Source organism: Homo sapiens, chromosome 12 (genome assembly GCF_000001405.40).
Source record: "Homo sapiens chromosome 12, GRCh38.p14 Primary Assembly".
NCBI classification, from domain to species: domain Eukaryota; kingdom Metazoa; phylum Chordata; class Mammalia; order Primates; family Hominidae; genus Homo; species Homo sapiens.
The window spans coordinates 84,964,958-84,987,607 of NC_000012.12; the positions used below are offsets into that span (position 1 = coordinate 84,964,958).

Consider the following 22,650-nt stretch of genomic DNA (forward strand, 5'->3'; position numbering starts at 1 on the left):
GAAATAATAAATGTCTTCTTTATCTTTGTATTCCCTTCCTTCAGTATCCAGTGCAGGTTTAGCATGTAGGAGAAGTTCAATTAATATTCTTTGAACCGAGCTAAACTGAGATTCCCTTTGTGAACTCTTCATTCAAATTAGCCCTGAAAAGCCACCATCTCATGAACACATCATAGACCTTTTTTTTTCCATGTTTTTATTCATTCTATTGTCTACTGAGAATGGCTTTCTCTAAACTCTGCTTTAAATCCATTTCAAATTCTATTTCCAGTAAATTTTTATAGAATTCTACTGAAAATCAATAATGGTCATATTTACATATATTACATTGTTGTTTTAATATTATTTAGATTTTCTGCTGACTTTTAGCTTTTCATACTTTCCTATCTTCTCATCTCTACCCGGCTAAATTGTAAATGTGCTGAGAACAGAAATGCTCTTGTGAAATTCTTTACATCACTCAAAAAGACATATGGTGTAGCACGTGATTTTATGTTTTCATGGTAATGGATTGTAAGGCATTTTTAATATTAAGCAGTATTATGAAAACTTAATGTACTTATTTTTCCTTATGGTTATTATAATCCTTTTAAAATGACATGGCATTATTCAATAGCATTTTTCCCTTTAGGGTAATGTATATTAAGCCAATAAAAATAATGAAGTTTTATTGTACTGGAAAGTTAATTGTAAATTTCAAGCGTCAAAATATTCATATATACACAGAAGCACATTTACTGACTCAACTCAAGTCAAATTTTGCCCAAAACTAAAAATTTCACCAAAACAGTGAAATACCTCTTCAACTTACAGTATTCATAAAAATATAGATCCTTGTATATTTGCTACATAAATGATGACCACTTTTTTTAGCCAAATTTGTAATATGGTAAAACTTTTTATTTTATATTTGTTTTGACTTTTTATTTTTTATTATTATACTTTAAGTTCTGGGATACATGTGCAGGCAGAACGTGCAGGTTTGTTACATAGGTATACATATGCCATGGTGGTTTGCTGCACCCATCAACCGGTCATCTAGGTTTTAAGCCCCGCATGCACTAGGTATTGGTCCTAATGCTATCCCTCACTTGTCCGCAGCCTCTGACAGGCCCTCGTGTGTGATGTTACCCTCCCTGTGTCCATGTCTTCTCATTGTTCAACTCCCACTAATCAGTGAGAACATGCGGTGTTTGGTTTTCTGTTCCCGTGTTCTTTTGCTGAAAATGATGGTTTCCAGCAAAGGACATGAACTCATTCTTCACTCTTTTTTATGCATAGTATTCCACGGTGTATATGTGCCACATTTTCTTTATCGCATTGATTGGCATTTGGGTTCGTTCAAAGTCTTTGCTATTGTAAATAGTACTGCAATAAACATACATGTGTATGTGTCTTTGTAGTAGGATGATTTATAATCCTTTGGGTATATAATCAGTAGGGGGATTGCCGGGTCAAATGGTATATCTGGTTCTAGATTCTTGAGGAATCACCGCAGTGTCTTCCACAATGGCTGAGCTAATTTACACTCCCACCAAGAGTGTAAAAACATTCCCATTTCTCCACATCCTCGCCATCATCTGTTGTTTCCTGACTTTTTAATGATCACCATTCTAACTGGCATGAGATGTTATCTTATTGTGGTTTTGATTTGCATTTCTCTAATGACCAGTGATGATGAGCTTTTTTTCATATGTTTGTTGGCCGCATTAATATCTTCTTTTGAGAAGCGTCTGTTCATATCCTTTGCTCACTTTTTGATGGGGTTGTTTGTTTTTTTCTTGTAAATTTGTTTCAGTTCCTTGTAGATTCTGGATATTAGACTTTTGTCAGATAGATAGATTGTAAAACTTTTCTCCCATTCTATAGGTTGCCTGTTCACTCTGATGATAGTTTCTTTTGCTGAGCAGAAGTTATTTAGTTTAATTGGATCTCATTTGTCAATTTTGGCTTTTGTTGCAATTGCTTTTGATGTTTTAGTCATAAAGTCTTTGCCCAGGCCTATGTCCTGAATGGGATTGCCTAGGTTTTCTTCTAGGGTTTTTATGGTTTTAGGTCTTATGTTTAAGTCTTTAATCTATCTTGAGTTAATTTTTGTATAAAGTGTAAGGAAGGGATCCAGTTCCAGTTTTCTGCATATGGCTAACCAAAACCTAACATTTTAAAGTGAGACTCTTACACAATGTGAATGCATGGTCACCATTGACATAAGCCATCAGCAAGCACTTAATCCTTCCTTTGACCAAAGTTCTACATTCATTAAACTGTCCAGGACTATTCAGAGTGCCAGTGAAGTCTATTTCCACCAGTGCATTGGTTCACATCAAAATAAAAGAAAACTGTATGGTCAGGCTTTCACTTCTCAGTCACTAATTACTGAAACTTTAAAAATATTGATTTGATACAGCTTGATTTTATGTCTATATAATTCATTGAATTGAACATATTTATGTTTCCAATTTTACTCTGTAAGAAGTTACAGAAAATTACATATATTATGGAAAAACTGAAAATAAAATAACATTCTGGACACTTTTTCATGCCACTTATAATACTTCAAGTTTTTATTGTACTATCAATTTCTATTTGATTAAATCCACAACTACCCACATACATTTTACTCTTGCTTAATCTCCTAAATTTATAGAGTAATTTATATTCAGGTAAATTCATGCCACATTAACTGAGAGTCAGGCTAATTCAGAAGATGCTTTTCTTCACATAATGCTGCAGTAATAAGTAACTTCAGTAGACATTGGCTATGCTGAACAGATGCTGGAGACTCCAATGAGTCTCAATTTTATGGCTACACTAAGAAATGTTTGACTTCAGCTTAATTTTGTTATTGTTGCAAATCTGGACTGTAGTCTTAAGAAGGCAAGGGTCATATCTCTGTCCCTCTCTTTAATGTTTCTTATATCTAACTAACATAGCGCTGGGCATGCAAAATTCATTCTGTAAATACTTATTGAATAAATTAATTTATGCTAGATTAATTACAAATACAATAATCATCTCTCTACACTACTTATAAGTCATTCCCACTCTTTTTCCCATTAATTAGCTTAATGTACATTTTTTTTCTTTTTACTCCAAATTTTCTTCACTTTTTCTCCTTATCTAACCTTGGTATCCATCTCATAATGTCATGATCATGAGCCACAAATGGTTCTGTGTAATAGAATAGTGTCTCATATGCACATCAAGATTCTATGTGCAGGCCCTGAACTTGACATACATTAACTCACTTAATACTCCATATATTTGTGCTGGTGTTTTTATTTTTTAACTTGTCACTGACTTGAAGCTCATGTGAAGTTGGGATTATTAATATGTCTATTTCACAGATAATGAAACTGAGGCACCTAGAAACTGGTAATGTGCTTAAGGTCATACAGCTAGTGACACTAGGATTTTAATTTTGCCCATTGGACTCCAGAATGTGTATTCTAACATAACATTCTAGCCACTGCAATCTTATGCTGCCTCACCACTATGGTGTGATTTAAATTATGATTCACTTTTATAATCAACGTAGCTCTCATTGTATAAGAGCCTCTCCTTAGATAAGTTCTTATAAATAATTGATGCTTATATCTCAAATATATTGCTTAAAAGTTAACGTTTGTATTTTAAAAATATATTTTCCATCTACAAAATTTGTAATCAGGCCCAGATTCAAATTTTATATTTGCCTCGTATTAACTATGCCACTTTCACTATGTTACTTATCTTTACCTCTTTTAGTACAATTGTTTAATCTGTGACACAGCTAATACAACTGCTCTGAAGTTAAATAAGATGAAAAAACATTTTAAAGTACTTAACACAGTGCCCAAAATATAATAGCCTTTCAATAAATATAAATAGTAATAATACATTTTGTAAGGATTCTAACATAATTACTGTATTTGCAATATTTGTGCCAAATCTCCTCCCATATTTAGTTAAGGTTTATGGTTCAACATCCTGGGTAGCATGTTGTTAAATCTCGTGATCAAACATATAGTTTAGAAAGATTACCTATTGCTTTATTATTTAATTGCAAAAATACACATATTTCATGGGAGATGAATAAAGGCCTCTAAAAAGTTGGTCTTTAAATATAAAATATTTGCATGAACTCATAATGTTGAGTGTACTAGATCACTATATTGACACTTTGAAAGTATATATGCATCAACTATGCCCTTCTAGTTTCATCTCCATTGATAATCTTATTTAAAATCAGATCTATTCATATCTTCAAATTAAGAAATAGAATATAAAAGGACCTTAATTTCATTTTGTTTTCAAAAGAAAAAAATAAGTCAATAAAAAGCTGTGTTGTACAGGAAATAACACGTTTAACTAATAAATGCCAAAGGATTTATTTCAACATTGTAGACTAATGTTCAGTTATGAATGTACACTTTGAGGATTAGCCTGTGGGTACAGGAAACAACATGTTCAAGAGATCACCTTTTCAGAACAATGAAATACCCTAAAGCATTATGAGGCTTAATTGAATAAAATTTCACCATATACACCCATTTATAAGCCTACAACTCTTGACAAGTTCAAACTTCATCAAGAATTCAACATCAATAAAAATTAATTTCTACCAGCCATGATGCGTGAAACCCTAATCCAGACAGGACGATATTACTAACATCTACATTCTTTCTCCAAGACACAGTTGCCTCTAAGCTAATTGTAAAATGTGTTTCTCTTTTTTCCATTTCCCTTGAAGAGAGTATCAAACAAATGACATCCCATTCTTAGATTATTTTTTAAAGGACAAGACTTTAAAATTTTATTTTCCTTCAAAGGAAGTGATCCATCTCTGTAAAGCATTTACATATGTAGCTACAAAATATTCTTAGCCCTTCATAAATTAACAGTAGGATTATAAGAATAAATGCATTAGCAATATTAAAAGTATTATTCATTTATACAAATTTAGTACCTACTCAAAATCTCCAACAAATCAGGGCTTTCGACAATCGTTAAATATGAGTTGTGTGCCTACTATGTGAAATATGTATAAATTTCTTATTAATCAAAAATAAGGATAGTGCAGACTAAAGCAGAATGTGGTTAGTTTGTTGTAGATAATGATTTCATAGATTAGAGTCTTAAAGACTAAGAAATTTTGCTAAATTATATGATTAATTCTAAAAAGTAATAGCTATCTTATGTTGGATAATTATAAACAAAAACTAATGGGGTGAGCATGGTCTTAGTAAGTGCATACTGTGTCACTCAGATTATTCATAAGACAAATGATTTTAAATATATTCAGTTGTTTGTACCTAAGTGTTTTCCACCCTTCTGTTATGTTTTGATTACGTATTCAGTCTAAGAATATACAGGCTGAGAGAATAGAGTTATTGTGACTTTATTTGTCTTACTTGTCAAATTATTTGAAGCAGACTTTAGGTCAACAGCATTTAAAATTTCTATTAAATAGTGAACAGCTGAAGGAATTTTCCAGGAAGAATGAGAAGGAATGAATAGACTTTTCATAGATCCTAACATAGAATAAACAAGCTACGAAAAATTCCCTTTGTCTTCCTCATACCATTTTCTCTTTTTCTTCTTTACTTTAAAATCTACTAAAAAATGCAACCCTTGCTCTCTTTGGTTTTTAGAAATAAGTTTATTAGACTATTTAACAAGTCATTTAACTTCTCAGTGCTTCAGTCTTCTCATCTGCAACATAAGGTGACAGGATTAGAACATGTGGCCCACAAACTTTACGTGTGTGTAAGAATCAACATGGAAAGCTTGTTAAAATACAGCTTCCCAAGGCCAGCTTCAGAAATCCTCATTTAGTAGGATTGGGGTAACCCTCTGAATCTGGTTGTTTTTAATACACCCCTAAATATTTTTGAAGCTGGTAGTCTACATATCTTATTTAGAAGCCCTGAAAATATGACAAATTCTCTCCAAGTCTCCTTCCATCTCTCATAAATCGCCAGGTCAATATTTCCCTTAGAGTCCATAAAATGAGTGAAAACTAATTTTCTGGCTCCCAAAGGTAAAGTAGAGAGAATCTTGATATTATCAATGTGTTCCAATTCATCCATTCAGTTTTTTAACATCTATGTAGAGGCCACTCTAAAAGTCAACAGAGTATTGCAAGAGAAAATATACCTTCCTAGTGGTTATATTGTAGGTCATGGAGCATTTTATTAAATATTAAAAGACTATACAGAGATTGTATTATGATATCAGAACAAATACTCTTGTTTGAAAGTGTTGAGCTCTTATAGATTCAAGGTGATAACAGAAATAAAATGAATATGTACCTTGTCTTTTCATTTCAGTTTGTAATGGAACATCAAGAGGAATCAAAATTACGAAGTTTTAGAGGTTGTCTATTATAAATATTTCTATTCCCTCTAAGGTGTTATCTGCTCCCTGATACCAACAATCCAAGTGTCTTTCTGTTTGTATTCTGGTAGCACAGTTCTTCATTCACTGTAGACATTCAAAAAAGGACACTGAATGAATGAGAATAAATAAATGGAAAAGAATGCATTCCATCATTGAAGTACTGACAGAGACTCAGTGAAGAACTGGACTCACTTGTTAAAAGGCAGATCTATTTTTAGGGCATGGTCAGATATCTTCATTCCTAACAGAGGCTTTTAAACATTTGTGTTGTGCTTCTTTGTAAAATTAGCTCTTATGTCTCTAAAAATGTGTGAAGGGCTGCCTTTCCTTTTGCCTCATCTCCACTACCGCCATAGGCAACATATCCTGAAATGCTCAAGGAAGTCCCATTTTATTCAAAAAATTTTGCTACTTACAGCCTGTATGATTGAAAATCTTAATAATTCCAGATTACTTTTTTTGGAGTTAATGAGTCTTTCTGTGTACTACTTAATGTATACCTATCATATGGCAATAATGTAACAGGTTACAAACAATAGCTAGTAACATCTGAAATCATGTGATTCTTGTTTTATTTTTATTTGTGAGAATTACATCATAAAATGAGGCTTAATATTTTATATCACACTAGCTCAAATTCGCATGATTTAAATCTTCACAAAATGCAAAACACACACTCTCACCATTTTAATTCTGATGCACAAGTCTGAAAACAACTGGGATAAGGCTATCTTGGCAATCTCTTGTCAGTCTCCTTATTTTCTACATGGCCTTGCTTGATAGCAACATGTGTAACTGGAGTGAATAGTTATTTAATTTAGTCACTTGCTCCCGAGGAAAGGGGATACTGTCATCTAGCTTGTCGCAGTGTACAGGGGATGAGATTTTTCATGTGATTTGCTTTAGACAGATAAAATGCCATATGAATAAGGCAAAACATTAGGAGTCAATTCAAGGCATAATTAATACTTAATGTTTTAGCAGAGGTAGATTTATTTACTGAAAAAAAAGAAACAAGTTTAACATACTCAAGAAGAGGCAAGAGTATTCTCATTGTTTTAGTTATCTACGGTCATCTAACAAACCACCCCAAAATACCGTGGCTTCAAATAACAACCATTTTGTTATATCTCAGCTTCTGTGATACTCAGATTTAGGATTACTACTTAGTACTTCTCTTTAGCACTTTCTCTGCTGGTCTTGCTTTCAGTCTTCACAGTGTTACAGTTGAATGGTGGCTGTGACTGACATCTGGCTCATTGTTCCACCCCTTGGCCTCTCTTCATCCAGCAGATCTGCCTAAACTTCATTAATGTGGGGATTCGTGTTCTAAGAAGGAGAAAGGGGGAGTTGCAAGGCAGACTTTTACATTCCCAGACTCACAAGTCCCAGAGCATTTCTTGATTCACATTATGTTGGTCAAAGCAGGGGCAAGCCCAACCTAGATTCAATGGGAAGGGGCATAACCGGCACCTCTTAATAGGAGGAACAGCATTCAGGAAAACAGATGAGTGGAATTGTTTGGAAATTCGCTACCACACTTATGGATCTTCTAGGGAAATATTGATATACCCAGATTACAGATTATTGTGATCTCTGAGGACAGTTGTTGGATGCTTTCTGAAAGTATTTCTGTGAATTCTTTCTGAAGCCTTATATGGTTAAACTATACTATCCAGTATTATCTATGTACTTTTACAAAAAGGCAGAATAGCATTAATTGATTGTGTGGAGCAGACAAAGAAGAAAAGCTGGAAATCCTCTTATCACTCACACATCAACTCCTAGACCCTTGCTGGTATCACAATCCCACAATGAAAGATTCTTGTGGGTACAAACATTCTTTCTCTCTGAACTGACATCCCTAACAAAGATGTGATGTGTAAAGGATGCTTACTTACCCAGACTATGACCTTTGCCATTCTAGGGAGAGTTACAGGAATAGTGCAGGGTTTAAGATATTATCCTAGACAGATGGAAGACAAACCAGAGCAGCCCTAATTTTCCATGAGGTGGGTTCTACATTTTAAGGTTCTTCCCTCTTCTTCTAATAGTTTTTTTTTTTAAGACAGATGAAGATTGCTTTAAAGGGCCTTCTTTTCTCAAGGATGTGCCATCAGAAACTAAAGAGATGTATCTGTTATAGACTTACTTCTTCCTGAGACTGATTTGGAGGTATGAGATAGATTTTGTATTGTCTGAACTGCTGCTTCCTGCTATTTCTATTTCTATATTTCTAATAATACAAAATAATCGTAGAAAAAAACCTAAATGCTCAGACTTAACAATTGCTTTATGATTTTTTAAAACCCCAATAACCAAGAATACTTAATCCAAAAATTACTTAAGAAATTTCTGAGGTGAGCCAGGGAGTCAGTCCACATATGCCTGAATATAATTCTCTTTGAATCATGGAAGAGGAGAAGAAAATAGCAAGCTTATATTTCTACATTAGAATGGTTAAAAAAAAAATCTCCTAACCTTCTCTGAAAACTGGGTACCATGACAGAGCTTCACCACATGACTAGGATAAAAGACTGGGTCATGGCCTCAGTAATCCCTTGATTCAAGAGATTCTTCCTATAACCAGTGTATTGAACAAGTGGCTGTCATGAAATGTAACCATAAAACATATTTGATTTTGCATCTGTGGAGAAATTTTTCTTGGTGAAAACATGGGAAGTTTACACCTTGTTTTTAGACAATTAAAATTTCCTGGGTGTCTTTAAGTCATAAAACAGTGTCAATTTAATATTTACATTATCTGGTCCTGCATACTACTCAAAACTTTTGATTTCATTCAAGATAATAGCCAATTTTTTTTTTCCTGAAGCTTCTAACTCTTCTGTCCCATCTTTTAACTGTAACTCTGATTTTTCAGAGTTGAAATAAAGGGAGGCAGAAGAGTAAGGAGAGAAAAATAAGTCATGCTTGACTGGTATTCTTTTATCCTGGCTACATTATTGATGAGCTTTCCAAGTTTTTAAAGCTGACAAAGTCCCTAGTGGCTGTCTTCACACATTCCTCAGAGGCTCCACATTCACATTCAGTTTCCTCAGTCTGAGTGAATGATTCTCTCATGGGACCTTTTGCTTAATCTTGCAACCCCAAAAATATATTAGTTTCTAGCACTTAATGCTGAGGTTCTCTTGCTCCTCAAAATTGATCCAACTGGTAAGGCCCAGGACTATCTGCATTCTGCTCTTTTACATGTGCCCCACACATGGCCTTCAGGAAACACTCACACAACCTTTGTTTCAACAGTTAGTAAGAGGAAATGCTGATCCTAGCTAAGTGGCAAAACCTTTTAACTCTTGCCTTTGGAGCAGTTTCCCAGGCCATCCCTGCTGTTTACTACTCACAGATGAGGGTCAGGAAAAAATCTACTATGCTTCCCCAAACTCAAAAGTGGAAGTCAAGTTTTCTGAAAGGCCCATTGATGGGTCCCTCAAACTCTCGTTCTCACTCTCGCTCTAAATTTGAAAGGAAAAGGGAGAACCCCACTTCACTCCCGTGGGGAAGATTCTAGTCAAGATCTGGTCTTTCAGCTCTTTTATGTGCCTGAGGTGAGCCAAGGTGTTCAAGATTCATATAAGTGGTTTTGATTATAGCTCCTTGGAAATCCTTGAGCACCATCTGCATTACTTTGGTATTTGAGAAGCAGAGTAACGTAGTGGTCAAAAGGACAGCCCTGGAGCTAGGTTTCCCAGCTTCATATTCCAATATACTTAACTTTGCTAGTGTTCAGTTACCTCTTCAATAAAATGGTCTCACTTAGCTGGCATAAATAGTGCCTACTTACGTTCTTCGTGATGATTAAATAGGACACTGAAAGGAGTGGCCCAGAAGTCAACACAAGAAGAATCTTATTTTAACACCCTGTTAACATTATCATTATTGCCAGAAATGTCAATCAAAAGCTGGAATGTCAAATATGTTAGGGAACTTCCCTCCATAAGAGGAAGGAAGGTGAATGTCTAAGGATACTTTAACTTTAAAACTCAGATTCAATTATCCAGGCAACCTAGCTAAAGGTTCAATACTGCTACTAAGTAACAATGTGATCTAAGGAAGATTCTTTAATAACTTGTATGCTTAGATTTCTTATTTATATGTAAGTTTCATAGTTTTTCCCGCTTCAGGACATGGAACTGATGGCAGCAGGAGGCAGACAAATCCTAGGCAGACAGAGCCAGGTCCATGGTAAAACCAGACCTTCAAGCCCATGACAGTTTAAAGCCTAGCTACAAGTCTCAGGTAAATCCTTGGACTGGATTGAGAGCCTCTCTTCCCATTTGGAGTGCTTTCCTCTAACTGATACCCACCTTTCAGCTATTTTACATATAACTCCCCTTCCCTAATTTGTTTTCTACACTGTCTTGGCCATCTTTGAGCCATACCTTAGTTTTAACCCTTTTTGCATACTCACAAACCAATCTGAGCCCATAAAACCCTTGGACTCAGCTGTACTGGGAGAGAGACCACCCGGCTTTGGGTGGGAAACCACCCTTGCATTCCCTTTCTGCTGAGAGCTGTTTTGTCACTCAGTAAAATTCTTCTCCATCCTCCTGACCCTTCAATTATCAGCCTAACCTCATTCTTCTTGGATGTGGTGCAAGAACTCGGAACACATCGAACGCAGGTACAAAAAAGGCTGTAACACTGTGGCCCTCTTCCCTCTGCCAGTGAAGGCAGCCACCCCATGCAACAGAAAGCAGTGGCAGGGCCGAGCCAGCCTTGGAGCCATGGAACAGAGTGAGGTAACAGGGTTGGCAGAACTATTAATGCACCTCCATCTGTCAGGCTGCAGACAGGGGACTAAAAGAGCAAATTAGCATGCTGTAACACTCCCTCTGGGGCTTTGGGGTCATAGACACCCACCACATTTCCCTCATTTGGGTGCCAGAGTCCACCACAGGAGTGGCTTGCTACATGCCTGGTCCAGCCACAAGCCCCGCAAGGATCCCACTCCTGTGTCAGTGCTTGGAATGGCTGGCCGGACCCCACACTCACTTGCTCACACTCCCCTCCCAATGAGGGTTGGGCATGCGGTCATGGCAGCTGCAGGATCTGCACTGGAGTGCAGGCCTGGCACAGCCCAGTGGGCCAAGTGGTTGGGGTGTCTCCTGTGGTGAGCCCAGGCCCCAGGTGATGCAGGGGCATCACCAGCCAGAGGTCTCTGGCTGGCAAAATGACTGAGAAAAATCCTGCATCAAAACTTCTATGTCAATAGATATTTATTCAATAGGTACCTATTGAATGAAAGGTATTTATTCAATAAAGTACTTATTAAGCAAATACTATGTACCAGGTTCTCTAGGCTCTGAGGATACAGCAGTGAACAAAAACAGAAAAAATCATCTCTGCCATCAGGTATATTATACACTGCTGACAGGACCCAGAAAACAAATGAAATATGTGTTATGTCTTACAGTTGCTTCATTGTTCATAAAACCACATGGGAACTGACTTCAGGAGAGGAGTAATGGCCTGTGTGTCTGCACTTCCTTGTTGTGACAGAAGTAGTCCCATATTTAAGACATAAAATGATTTCCAGTCATCTCAGGCACAGAGTGGTTATGGGACTGTGAATAGTATTCAGGAAAGGAAAGAATGAGGCTTTCACTGGGAGCATGCAGAGTTCTGGTGCCATCTCTTTTGCTGAGCAATGATGATGTTGAGACTAGCAAGGAGTAGCCTTATTTGAAGAACACAGATCTTCTGGACTTCCTCTTAACTCCTGATGGAGTCTTTAGAGGCTGAGGAGAGGTAGTCTTACATGGTGCTCCTTATCCCATGATCCTTTCTGATTCTTAAAGCAAGAAATCTTTGAGACTTGTTCCGGTATCCTGCAGATGTGGGGACAAAGGATGATAAAAAAAAAAAATCTGTTTTTAAGGCTTGTATGTGTTTTTGGATTCTTTCTAACTAGAATTAAATACTGTTTTGTGATCTGTAAAAGAAGAACCTAGAAACACTAGTGTCATTTTAAAATTCTTGTTGGATTTATATTTAACAGAATGGCTAATACGAAAAAGACTGACAACACCAAATGTGAGTAAGACTGTAGGCCAATCTGAGATCTCATACATTACTGGTGTGAGTGGAAAATAGTACAACTACTTTGAAAAAAAGATCTGGCAATTTTTATAAAATTAAGTATACACCTACTATGTGAACTCCTGAATAGAATTTATTCAGGAGAAAAGAAAACACATGTTCACACATATATAAAAAAATACAATGATATTCATAACAGCTTATTCATAATAGTCCAAAACAAGAAACTGCCCACCAATTAGAGAATAGATAGACTGTGGCTTATTCATAGAAGATACCAGTCATCAGTGAAAAGGAATGAAACAACACAGAGGAATCTCAGCACATGGAGCTGAGTGAAAGAAATACTACACAAAAGAGTATGTACTACATGATCTATAGGAAGTTCTGGAACAGAAAAAAAAAACTAATCTATAGAAAAAAAATAAGAGTAGTGGTTGTCTCTGGGATGGTAGGAGCAAGGATTGACAGGGAAGGAACATGAAAGAACTTTCTGTGGTTACAGTAGTCTTCTTTATTTTGATAGGGATTATGGGTTGCACAGGTGTATGCCCTGTGAGCAGTTCCTGAACGGACTAAATGGTACACTGAAGAATTTTGCAATTCATTATACGCAAGTTTTACCTCAGCTCTAGTTAATGCCATGCATGTTTAAATATATGGGAAATATATTGCTCTCTGCACCTTATTTGGAAAAGCATCAAAAAATAAGATGAATTGTTAGAGGGGTAGTGGGATTAATAATTATATGATCAAACAAATTTATAAAGGGTTAAAAATAGAATCTGGGTAATGGGTACATGTTTATTTACTAAATAATTCTTTTATTTTCTGTGACCGTGATAATTCTCAAAATAAAATTTTAAGAAAAAATTTTAGTTTGAGCAGGGCATATGATATTTTATTATCATATTTTCATATTTTAAAAATTCAAACAATAGAAATATCTTAGTTTTATTATAAAAGATGAATTTATTAACTAAATAATTATTTATTAAGTAACTAATTGTCAATCTTCAGTGAGAACAGGCACAATAGTTTATTCCTGCCCTTATATTCTAATGGAAGAAGAAAAGGTACTTATTTTACAATTATTTCACAAATAAATAATATAACATTTGTATTTAAAATAATGTTTTAAAAATAATTTTCTTGTAAAATTCCCAATATTGCTTGAGTATTTTACTTATATTTGATTTGAAATATTTGCAATTAAAAATAAGGAACTGTTATGAAAATATGTTGTAGAAATTGGTTTTCTGGTGCTTTCTATATTGAACCAATAGCTAGCAATTTGTCTCCCACTAATATTCTTCATGTGTTTCATGTAAAGCACATTAATATTAGCCCATAAAATAAATGTACCCGAAAAGAAACCAGCAGAATAAGTAATCATTAAGAAGTACAAACTAGAACATTTTTAAGAAAACCAAAAAGAAAATCTTTTTGAAACACAGCCAGCAACATCACAAGATTTATCCTTAATACCTACATAATATAAATTATATCTGGCATGTCTCCTCAGTAAAGTCACAGTGTCCAGACAAACTAAATAGCTTTAAGCAAGTTAATTTGTAATCTCGTCCAGTAAGTGTATATGCAGCTGTCAAAAAACATTAGTCTTCTAGTTACTGATTGAAATACAAATCCTATTATCTCTATTATTGAAATGCTAATACCAAGCTTTTAATCAGTGAGATGTTAGGTCCAGTCCTTAGTCTTACTCCATTCTTTTTCTTTGTTCTTTTCTTTTGTGAATTTACCCAACTGGTCCTTTCCCTAAGCTCCAGTCTTATTTTGCCTAAATAATATTATGTATTTTTCTTTAAATATTTCCAACACTAAACTTTTCATCCTTCTCCCAAAAAGGACATGCAATTTTCTTTCTTAACCATAGCTCTACTATTTTCTCATCACCCAGAAGTTAAATTCAGTTCATTCTTCTGTTAATCTAGTACATTAAGCCACTGAATTGTATTAGATTGTTTTCTCTAAAGTTTCTTATGCCTCTTTTTTTTTCTTTTTATACTCATTGTCTCTAGTCTAGTTTAATGACCTTGCACTGAACTATTGCAATAGCTTTTAAAAGTAGAATTTATTGTTTTTCTGATTATTAAAAACAAATAGAAATAATTTAAAATATGAATTATTTAAAGCATAGTTTTTGGTATTGCTGTTCTTGTTAAAAGAACTGTTAACATATTATTGCATATGCTTCTAGTTCCTTCTCCCTTTTCTTTGAAAACAGTTTTTAAATATGTATACTACTTTTTCGTAAATACATCATATATATTTAAATCTACATTTTTATATTTATTTTATTACTAATTTTGTCTCACTATAAATAACTGATATAGACATCTGTGTGTGTCTATATATAAACATATATATATATATGTTTGTACAAACATCTGATTATTTCCTAAAGATAATACAAAGAAGTGGAAATAGTGACTTAAATAGTATTAATTATTGAAACTTAAAGTGATCTTGTCAAATTTCCTTTCAATCCTACTTCCCACCGTGTATGAGTATCTGTTTTGTCATCCTTGAAAAAAAAAATTCGGCATTATCACTTATAAGTAATACTTATCAATTGTGTAGCTTAAAATTTTATCTTGTTATACTGATCAGCCCTATTTGCTTAGTGATAAAATAATTACTCCCTTATTCATAAGTTTTACAGATCACTTATACTTCTTTATTGTTAATTACCAATTCGTAAATTTTCTTATCGGAGGGGCTGATCTTTGCTTATTTGTTTGCCATAGCTTTTTTTTTTTTTTTTTTTTTGAGACGGAGTCTCGCTCTGTCCCCCAGGCTGGAGTGCAGTGGCGCGATCTCGGCTCACTGCAAGCTCCGCCTTCCGGGTTCACGCCATTCTCCTGCCTCAGCCTCCCGAGTAGCCGGGACTACAGGCGCCCACCACCACGCCCGGCTAATTTTTTGTATTTTTAGTAGAGACGGGGTTTCACCGTGGTCTCGATCTCCCGACCTTGTGATCCACCCGCCTCGGCCTCCCAGAGTGCTGGGATTACAAGCGTGAGCCACCGCGCCCGGCCGCCATAGCTTTATAATCAGGATGTCTGTCTACAATTTTTTCAATTCTAATTTATCCTGTGTTTCATTTCAAGAGAAATATTGCCAATACAGTATTTGCTTGTCCACATTGTAAGTGTTTCTGTATTGCCCTACAGAGTCAAGACTTCAACATTCAAGCATTCTAATTCCCGTCTACCTACCTATGTATTAGTACATTTTGAATTGCTATAAAGGAATATCTGAGGCTGAGTAATTTATAAAGAAAAGAAGTTTATTTGGCTCACAGTTCTGCAAGCTGTACAAAAAGCATGGTGCTGACATATGCTTTTGATGAAGGTCTCAGGAGGCTTCCAATCATGGCAGAGACAAAGGGGGAGCAGACATATCACATGGTGAGAAAGAAAGGGAGAGAGAAGAGGAATCACACACTCTTTTGAGAAACCAGCTCTCCTGTGAATGCACAGGAGACTCACTAACTCATAAACACAGGATGGCACCATGACATTGATAAGAGATCTGCCACCATGACCCAAACACCTCATATTGGGCCCAAACTGTAACACTGAAGATCACATTTCAATGAGCTTTGGTAGGGACAAATATCCAAACTCTATCAGCCTGTCAATAAGTATCACTATCCTGAACACCAGTGATATATTTACCTTTCCCAAGTGTATGCAAAAAGACCCTTCCTTAAAGTCTCCTCTTTCTCTTCTCCATATAAAACCTACCTATCCTTCTGACTCATGCCCTGCATGAACCTTACTCAGTCACTGAAGCTCATCTGAATCTTCCCATATACTCTTAATTCTACTTCATAAATACACTTTTAAGTCTCTTATCCTGCCACCTATCGAGACCACGTCTTAATCCTGTGCTACCCAGGGTATGAATAGTACCTGCTACTGTGCATAATTCTTTCTCTTTTAGAAGCCTTAGTGACATTTTTAAAGGGTAAATTTGATTACAGTACTTATTCTCTTGCTTAAAACTTTGTCAAACTTTGGTACACTTAGGACAGAATATAAAATTCCTTATATGTCCTAAGATATCCTATAAGATTTGGCCACTCTTCCTCAGTCATCTCTCACTAGTTCCAACACCATCACCTTTGTTCACTATTATCCTCAAATGTCCCAAACTTCTTTCCTAATCATCACTATCCTATATCCTTCTTCCTCTGTGTTATTCTGGTCTTTTCTCTATACCCACATTCTATTCTTCTTGCAGTTATTCCTGTAACTGTAACTTCCTCTAGGTACACTTAGGTTTGTTCACTTTATTACTGAGGCTTACAGTATCTGATATTTTTCCCTGCAGTGCTTATGACAATTTTAATCACCGCCCTCATTCTTGCTTTTATTTGTTTAATATTTGTTGCCTTCCACAAGGTCAAATACTATGTCTCTATTTCTCATTACTGTATCCCAAGTACCAAGCAGAATGCCTGGCAAAAGCAGGAAACTCAAAAACATATTGTGGTCTGACAAAAAAAAAAAAAAAAGAAAGCCTAATTTATTCTATGGGTAGAGTTTTACTTGTTCTTTGAATTATTCCTGCGGTATAATTTTATTTTCTTAAGCACATTTCATTTCTTTCAAGTTAAAGACTGTATTCTATACTTCTCTAAAATCCATATAGCATACAACAGTTCTGAAACACAGCAGGCATAAAAAATATACCAGTTGAGATAAATGTGCAGTTGAAGAGTCGCAACTCTGATCATTTGGAAAAGAAGGAAGGACAGAGAGTCAAAACAAAAATTTGTACTGACGGAAACAGAAGAGAGGATAAAAATATCACCACTGATGGTTGACTAATAATCAAATTATTTTTATTTTATCCATTTTTATTTTTATTTTTAGAGACAGGTCTTGCTTGGTCCACAAGCTGGAGTGCAATGATGCAATCAGAGCTCGCTGCAGCCTCAAACTCCTGGACTCCAGTGATTCTCTTGCTTCAGCCTCCCAAGTACCTAGGACTACAGGCACACATCACCACACCACACATCAATTGTTTGTAGAAACAGGGACCCTATGTTGCCCAGGCTGGTCTGGGACTCCTAACCTCAAGCAGTCCTCTGTCCTCAGCCTTCCAAAATTCTGGAATTACAGAAATGAGCCATTGTGCCTGGCCTCTTGAATTATGAATATTGAAAACGTTCTTAGTTTCCTAACTACTTTCTGCTTATTTTGCTTATAACTGACATGAGAAAATCTGGCAATACATAAAAAATAATCTGTTTAAATGAAATTTAAACAAGAAGTTGAATTCATTTTTTTAAATTACCACTTTCTCTTACATGATGATAAGTATTAGTAGTTTTTATTTTATTTTATTATCAACTGATCTTTTCAAAGGTCAAGTCAATCAAGTAAATAGGCTTTTGGTGTTGGGTGGTAAGGTCGAGAAAAATCAAAAATCAAATTTGAAAACAAAAATATAATTAAGCCTGAGTTTAGTGGAATTTAATCTAGTTAGCTATAGGCTAAATCCAATACCTTTGCATCTCCATAATTAGGCATAAGCAGCAGGCAACTTGTACTGGTGACCAGCAGTCCACAGCCCAGATTGAGGAGACAAACTGAGCTTTGGGATTGGAATGGAGATGTGACTAGTGAGAGGAATTTTAAACTGGTAGAGCCCAGAGCCTTAGCTTCATCTAAAACAGAAACTCCAGGGGCTACTCTCCTGACCGCAAACCCTAACAGAGCCTGGAACCAGAATCAGTTAACCACTGCCAAATTATTCAGTACCTCTGTTTTGTTTTGTTTGTTGAGTTTGTTGTTGTTGTTGTGTGTGTGTGTGTTAAGTAGAGTTTCAGTGCCAAATTCTTCTTTTAAAACAGAATAGTTATGTACTGGGGATCTTAGGTGCTGAGTTCTTTGTGGGTTTGGAAATGCAAATTTGAGTTCAGGGACCAAAAAAAAAAAAAAAAAAAGCAACTTGTCCATCAAAACCAAAGAAGTGTTAGGCACCCCAGGAGGGAAATTTAGGTGACAGGGCTAGGGGCCAGGCCAGGAGTTAGAAGGGAACAGTAGGGGGCAGGACATGAGAGATTGCAATCTGCTACAGCAAAGACTCTTCCCAAATCTCCAGTTGAGTACACGGAAGCCCATTAAATATTTTGTCCAAGTGGACTGCTTGTGTGAACCACTGAAGGGGCTGAGATTCACGTCTGTGTCGATCTGAGATAAAACATGGAACACAAAAGAGAAAGCATCCCTGGCAGAAGCAGAGACTTCTAAATACTCCCCCCAAAAAAAGTGGTAAGATTTTTTAATCTCCACAGTTTACACTATGTTTAGGTGGCTGCACAGGGGTTGGAGCCTAAAACTAGCATCCCCAACTTATCTTCTTTTGAGAAAAAATAAGACCATCTCTGAAGGAAAACAAAGTGTGAAATTCAGTGACTGTTAGTAAAATAGTCAAAGAAGGGGCTAAGTAAAAGGAGGGAGTTTGGCTTGAATCACTAAATTATTTTTATAACTTTATTAACTTTTACAAATTATTAAAATGTGAATTATAATCTTATTTCTTCCATTTAAGGTTTTATCTTAAGCCAAATCGTTTCACAATCTTGTTCAAATTGTCTCATTTATAGCATGTAATTGATAATGTTTGCAGCATGTGACAGAGCTAATCTCCTAGGACCATTAGATCTCACAGATTTATGGCTTTTTGCCTGCAAAACCGAATCAAATATTTGAATATATATTATTAGCTAAAAGAAGCACATACTGATTAGTAAAATGGATGCCATTAAATAGTTCAATTTTCTTAATTTTAATGAAGGGCTCTTATGGAAAATTATATCTGAGTAGGCAAAGTAAAATAAAAGCATATTTTCTATGATAGTACCAAATGACATTATTATTCCCTATAATAAATAATTGAAAAATATTTGTCTATCCTTATTTTATTTTATATTATTTTTTGAGACAGGGTCTCTCTCTGTCACTTAAGCTGCAGTCCAGTGGTGCACCATCTAGGCTTACCACAACCTCTGCCTCCTGGGCTCAGGTGGTCCTCCCACCTTCAGCTTCCTGAGTAGCTGGGACTATAGGTGTGCACCACCACGACCAGCTAATATCCTTATTTTAAATGTCTTCACTTATTATATTTGGAATACATGATTCAACTACATATAGAAATAAATGTGCACATTTGTCAGTTTGATAATATTTCAAAATATTCTATTAGACAATAATAAGCAATAATTTCAAAATTCAGATTATATTTTGGTGTTAGTTTGTGAGTATTCCTTTCTCTGTTTTTGTTTTTCACTTTTGCCTGATCTCTCTCTTTTTTTTTCTGTGTAATTGCTAAATCTAGCAAAGTCCTAAAACAGTAAGTCAGTACCTAATAATGACACAACACAAATATATGTGAAAATATATTGTTTAAAAATATAGTTACATGAAAACGTTCTAATCCCATGTGATTTTCTATTTTACATATGAAGAAACTGAGACTCAGAGAGGTTAAGCGAGGTCCGATACCAGATCCTGCTGCCTCTAGGAGGGGGAATGGGAGCAGGGTACACCAACACTGGTATGCCAATAAGCTACACCATTATGGTGTGGTGGATGACGTGAGGGGGTGCTACATACAGCAGCTGTGTGTAGTATGTGCCTTTCTCTGTTGCCACCACAATTAAGAACAGGATTAAGAATTCAATTAACTATTACGATGCTTGTTTTTAAAAAGCTAGAGAAATGAATTTTCAGAGGAAATTCTTTTTCTGTAGTTTATACAACAGATGAAAATGAATAGAATTATTCATTTTAAGATCATATACATGGAGTAACATTATCTATGCCTAACGCAAAACTAAGATTTTAAAAATTATATATATTTGTGTATTGATATATGTAGGTAGTATATATATTTAAATATAATACAAATATAAATATACATATTTATATAATAGCCCAACATATTTATGTAAAAATATATAACATATTTATAAATACATAATATACAAATGATATACATCATATATAAATATATCATATGTATTTTTAAAAGCTATTTTTAAAATATTTACATTTATATGTTCTAATCCCACGTGATGCTCTATTTTACATATGAAGAAACTGAGACTCAGAGAGGTTAAGTGAGGTCAAATATTATATTGCGAGGTAGTGAAGGAGGAGAAATTCAAATCCTAATTTCTGATTTAAATCCATTTTCCTTCAACATCACCAAAAACTGAAGAACATAGAGGTAATATAGATATAGACAAATGACACCTAAAAACCAAATTCCCTTTTTGTGCCATCAAATACTTAAAAGTTTCCAATGATTTGATTATTTAAATAGCATTATTAATCTATACCTGCAATAGCAATGTGAGAATTGAGTAATGCCTCAGTGAGTTAGGTTAGTTAATGTGCTCAATCCTCTCTCACTTTAATTAGCTGAAAAATTGCTTCAACTTTTCAATTCTCTTTGTCCATGGAGACTTAACTTGAGATTCAACTTTCGTTTTGTGAAAATCACATTGTTTTTTTCTCAGAGAATCTGTTCAACTTTCTTCACCAAAATGATTGACAACTGTTCAGAATGAACAAAATTCAGATAAAACTTTACACTAAGAATTACTGATCCATGAAAGAATGGTTTCTTTACACTGAAAGAAAAAAAAATAGTTGGATTTAGAATTTTAAAACATTTTATATCATTTTATATACTTATATGTATTTATACCATAACTGTCATCTACTTAAATATATTTATGCTTTTATATATCTGTATGTGCATATTAAGTAGTAATTTTTTTTAAATATGTGAGATCCCCAAGACTGAGACACATTTACTTGAAGTAAAATCACAGGAAAAACAGCATATACAATGAACTATGCAGCAATATGAAAATTAAAAATTAAAGTTTGATATCGACTGGACCATACCCTTTTCTACATATGACCTTGTATTTTACATATTTTATGTATTTTTTATTGTCTTTTAAATAAGGTTGAGAACAAATTGCTATCTAAAATCAAGAGAAACAGCAACTGAAGAATCGAGGAGTTTATACAGTCTATTCTCATTATTCAGGCAAAAGTCTCAGTTTGTTATGAATCCCGTTTTGACTCTTCATTTTATCTAGTCATAGAGGCAATGAATTGATTACACATTAACATAGAAAGGAAATAAATTTTATTTAACTGAATTTAGAACCATATTTTAAAGGCCACATGATTACACGGCATATAAAATCATAAAACTTAAAGGCAAACTGCCTTTGAAATGTTTAAGCTGTTTCCAACCATCATGTGTTTGCGTGTGTAATGTGACATACAATAGCCAGTTTTTGCCATCTGTAGTGTTGCCCTTAGCAACAGAAAAGCATGTGACAGTGCTTATGTGACTCTGCTGGCCTGCAACAGTGTGTAGAAGGATTTAAGCAAAATGAAACAGACAGAAATATTGATCCAGACAACTGGAATTTTCAAGTGTATTGCAATGATAATGACGACTGGAAAGGAAAGAGAGGAAGGTAACAAAGAAAAGCCAAGAAAACTATTTGGAGTGAGAGACTATGGTAATATAAAAGGTATATTTTCTAGAAGTTATTATAAAGTTTAAGTTAAATTATGTACATGTATAACATATAATAATTTTCTTCTTTTGCATCATCATGTTATAATTTGCATTTAGTAAATAAAGTTAAACCCTACTCTGTTGCTGGACATGAAAGGGGGTAGTTCTATGTCACACACATCTTTCTCTGTTGCCATCACAGTTAAGAACAAGATTAAGAATTCTATTAACTATTACCATACTCGTTTTCAAAAAGCTAGAGAAATGAATTTTCGGACAAGATTATTTTCTGTAGTTCATACAACAGAGTAAAATGTATAGAATTATTCATTTTAAAATCATATATATGGAATAATATATAATCAGGCCTAATGCAAAACCGTAAGTTATCTCATATATATATATATATATATATATAGTTTTGGAAGCTTCAATAATAAAAGTAGGAAAGAGAAAATTCTGTAGTGTACATTTGCAAACAAACCCAACTTATTCACCCTGTTTTTAAGAAACTCTGGCTATATATCTTCAACCAGAAAGAAAAAAATGCAGACGTGACAACATGAGGACATGTGCTAGATAAATAGCATGTAAAGAAATATGCATCTGGGTCATTTA

At 34.7% G+C, this 22,650-nt stretch overlaps 1 long non-coding RNA gene across 4 annotated transcripts in view; it reads left to right on the forward strand.

The window, feature by feature from the left end:
- LOC102724680 (uncharacterized) overlaps positions 1-22,650 on the forward strand; it is a 79,821-nt gene that overhangs the window by 52,121 nt on the left and 5,050 nt on the right. The window contains exon 1 of one of the 4 annotated variants that reach the window (XR_007063568.1): positions 21,850-22,045. The exons of the other annotated variants lie outside the window; for them this stretch is intronic. This is a non-coding gene — a long non-coding RNA (uncharacterized LOC102724680). Of the gene's footprint in view, positions 1-21,849; positions 22,046-22,650 lie in introns of those variants that run through there. 4 annotated transcript variants of the gene reach the window in all.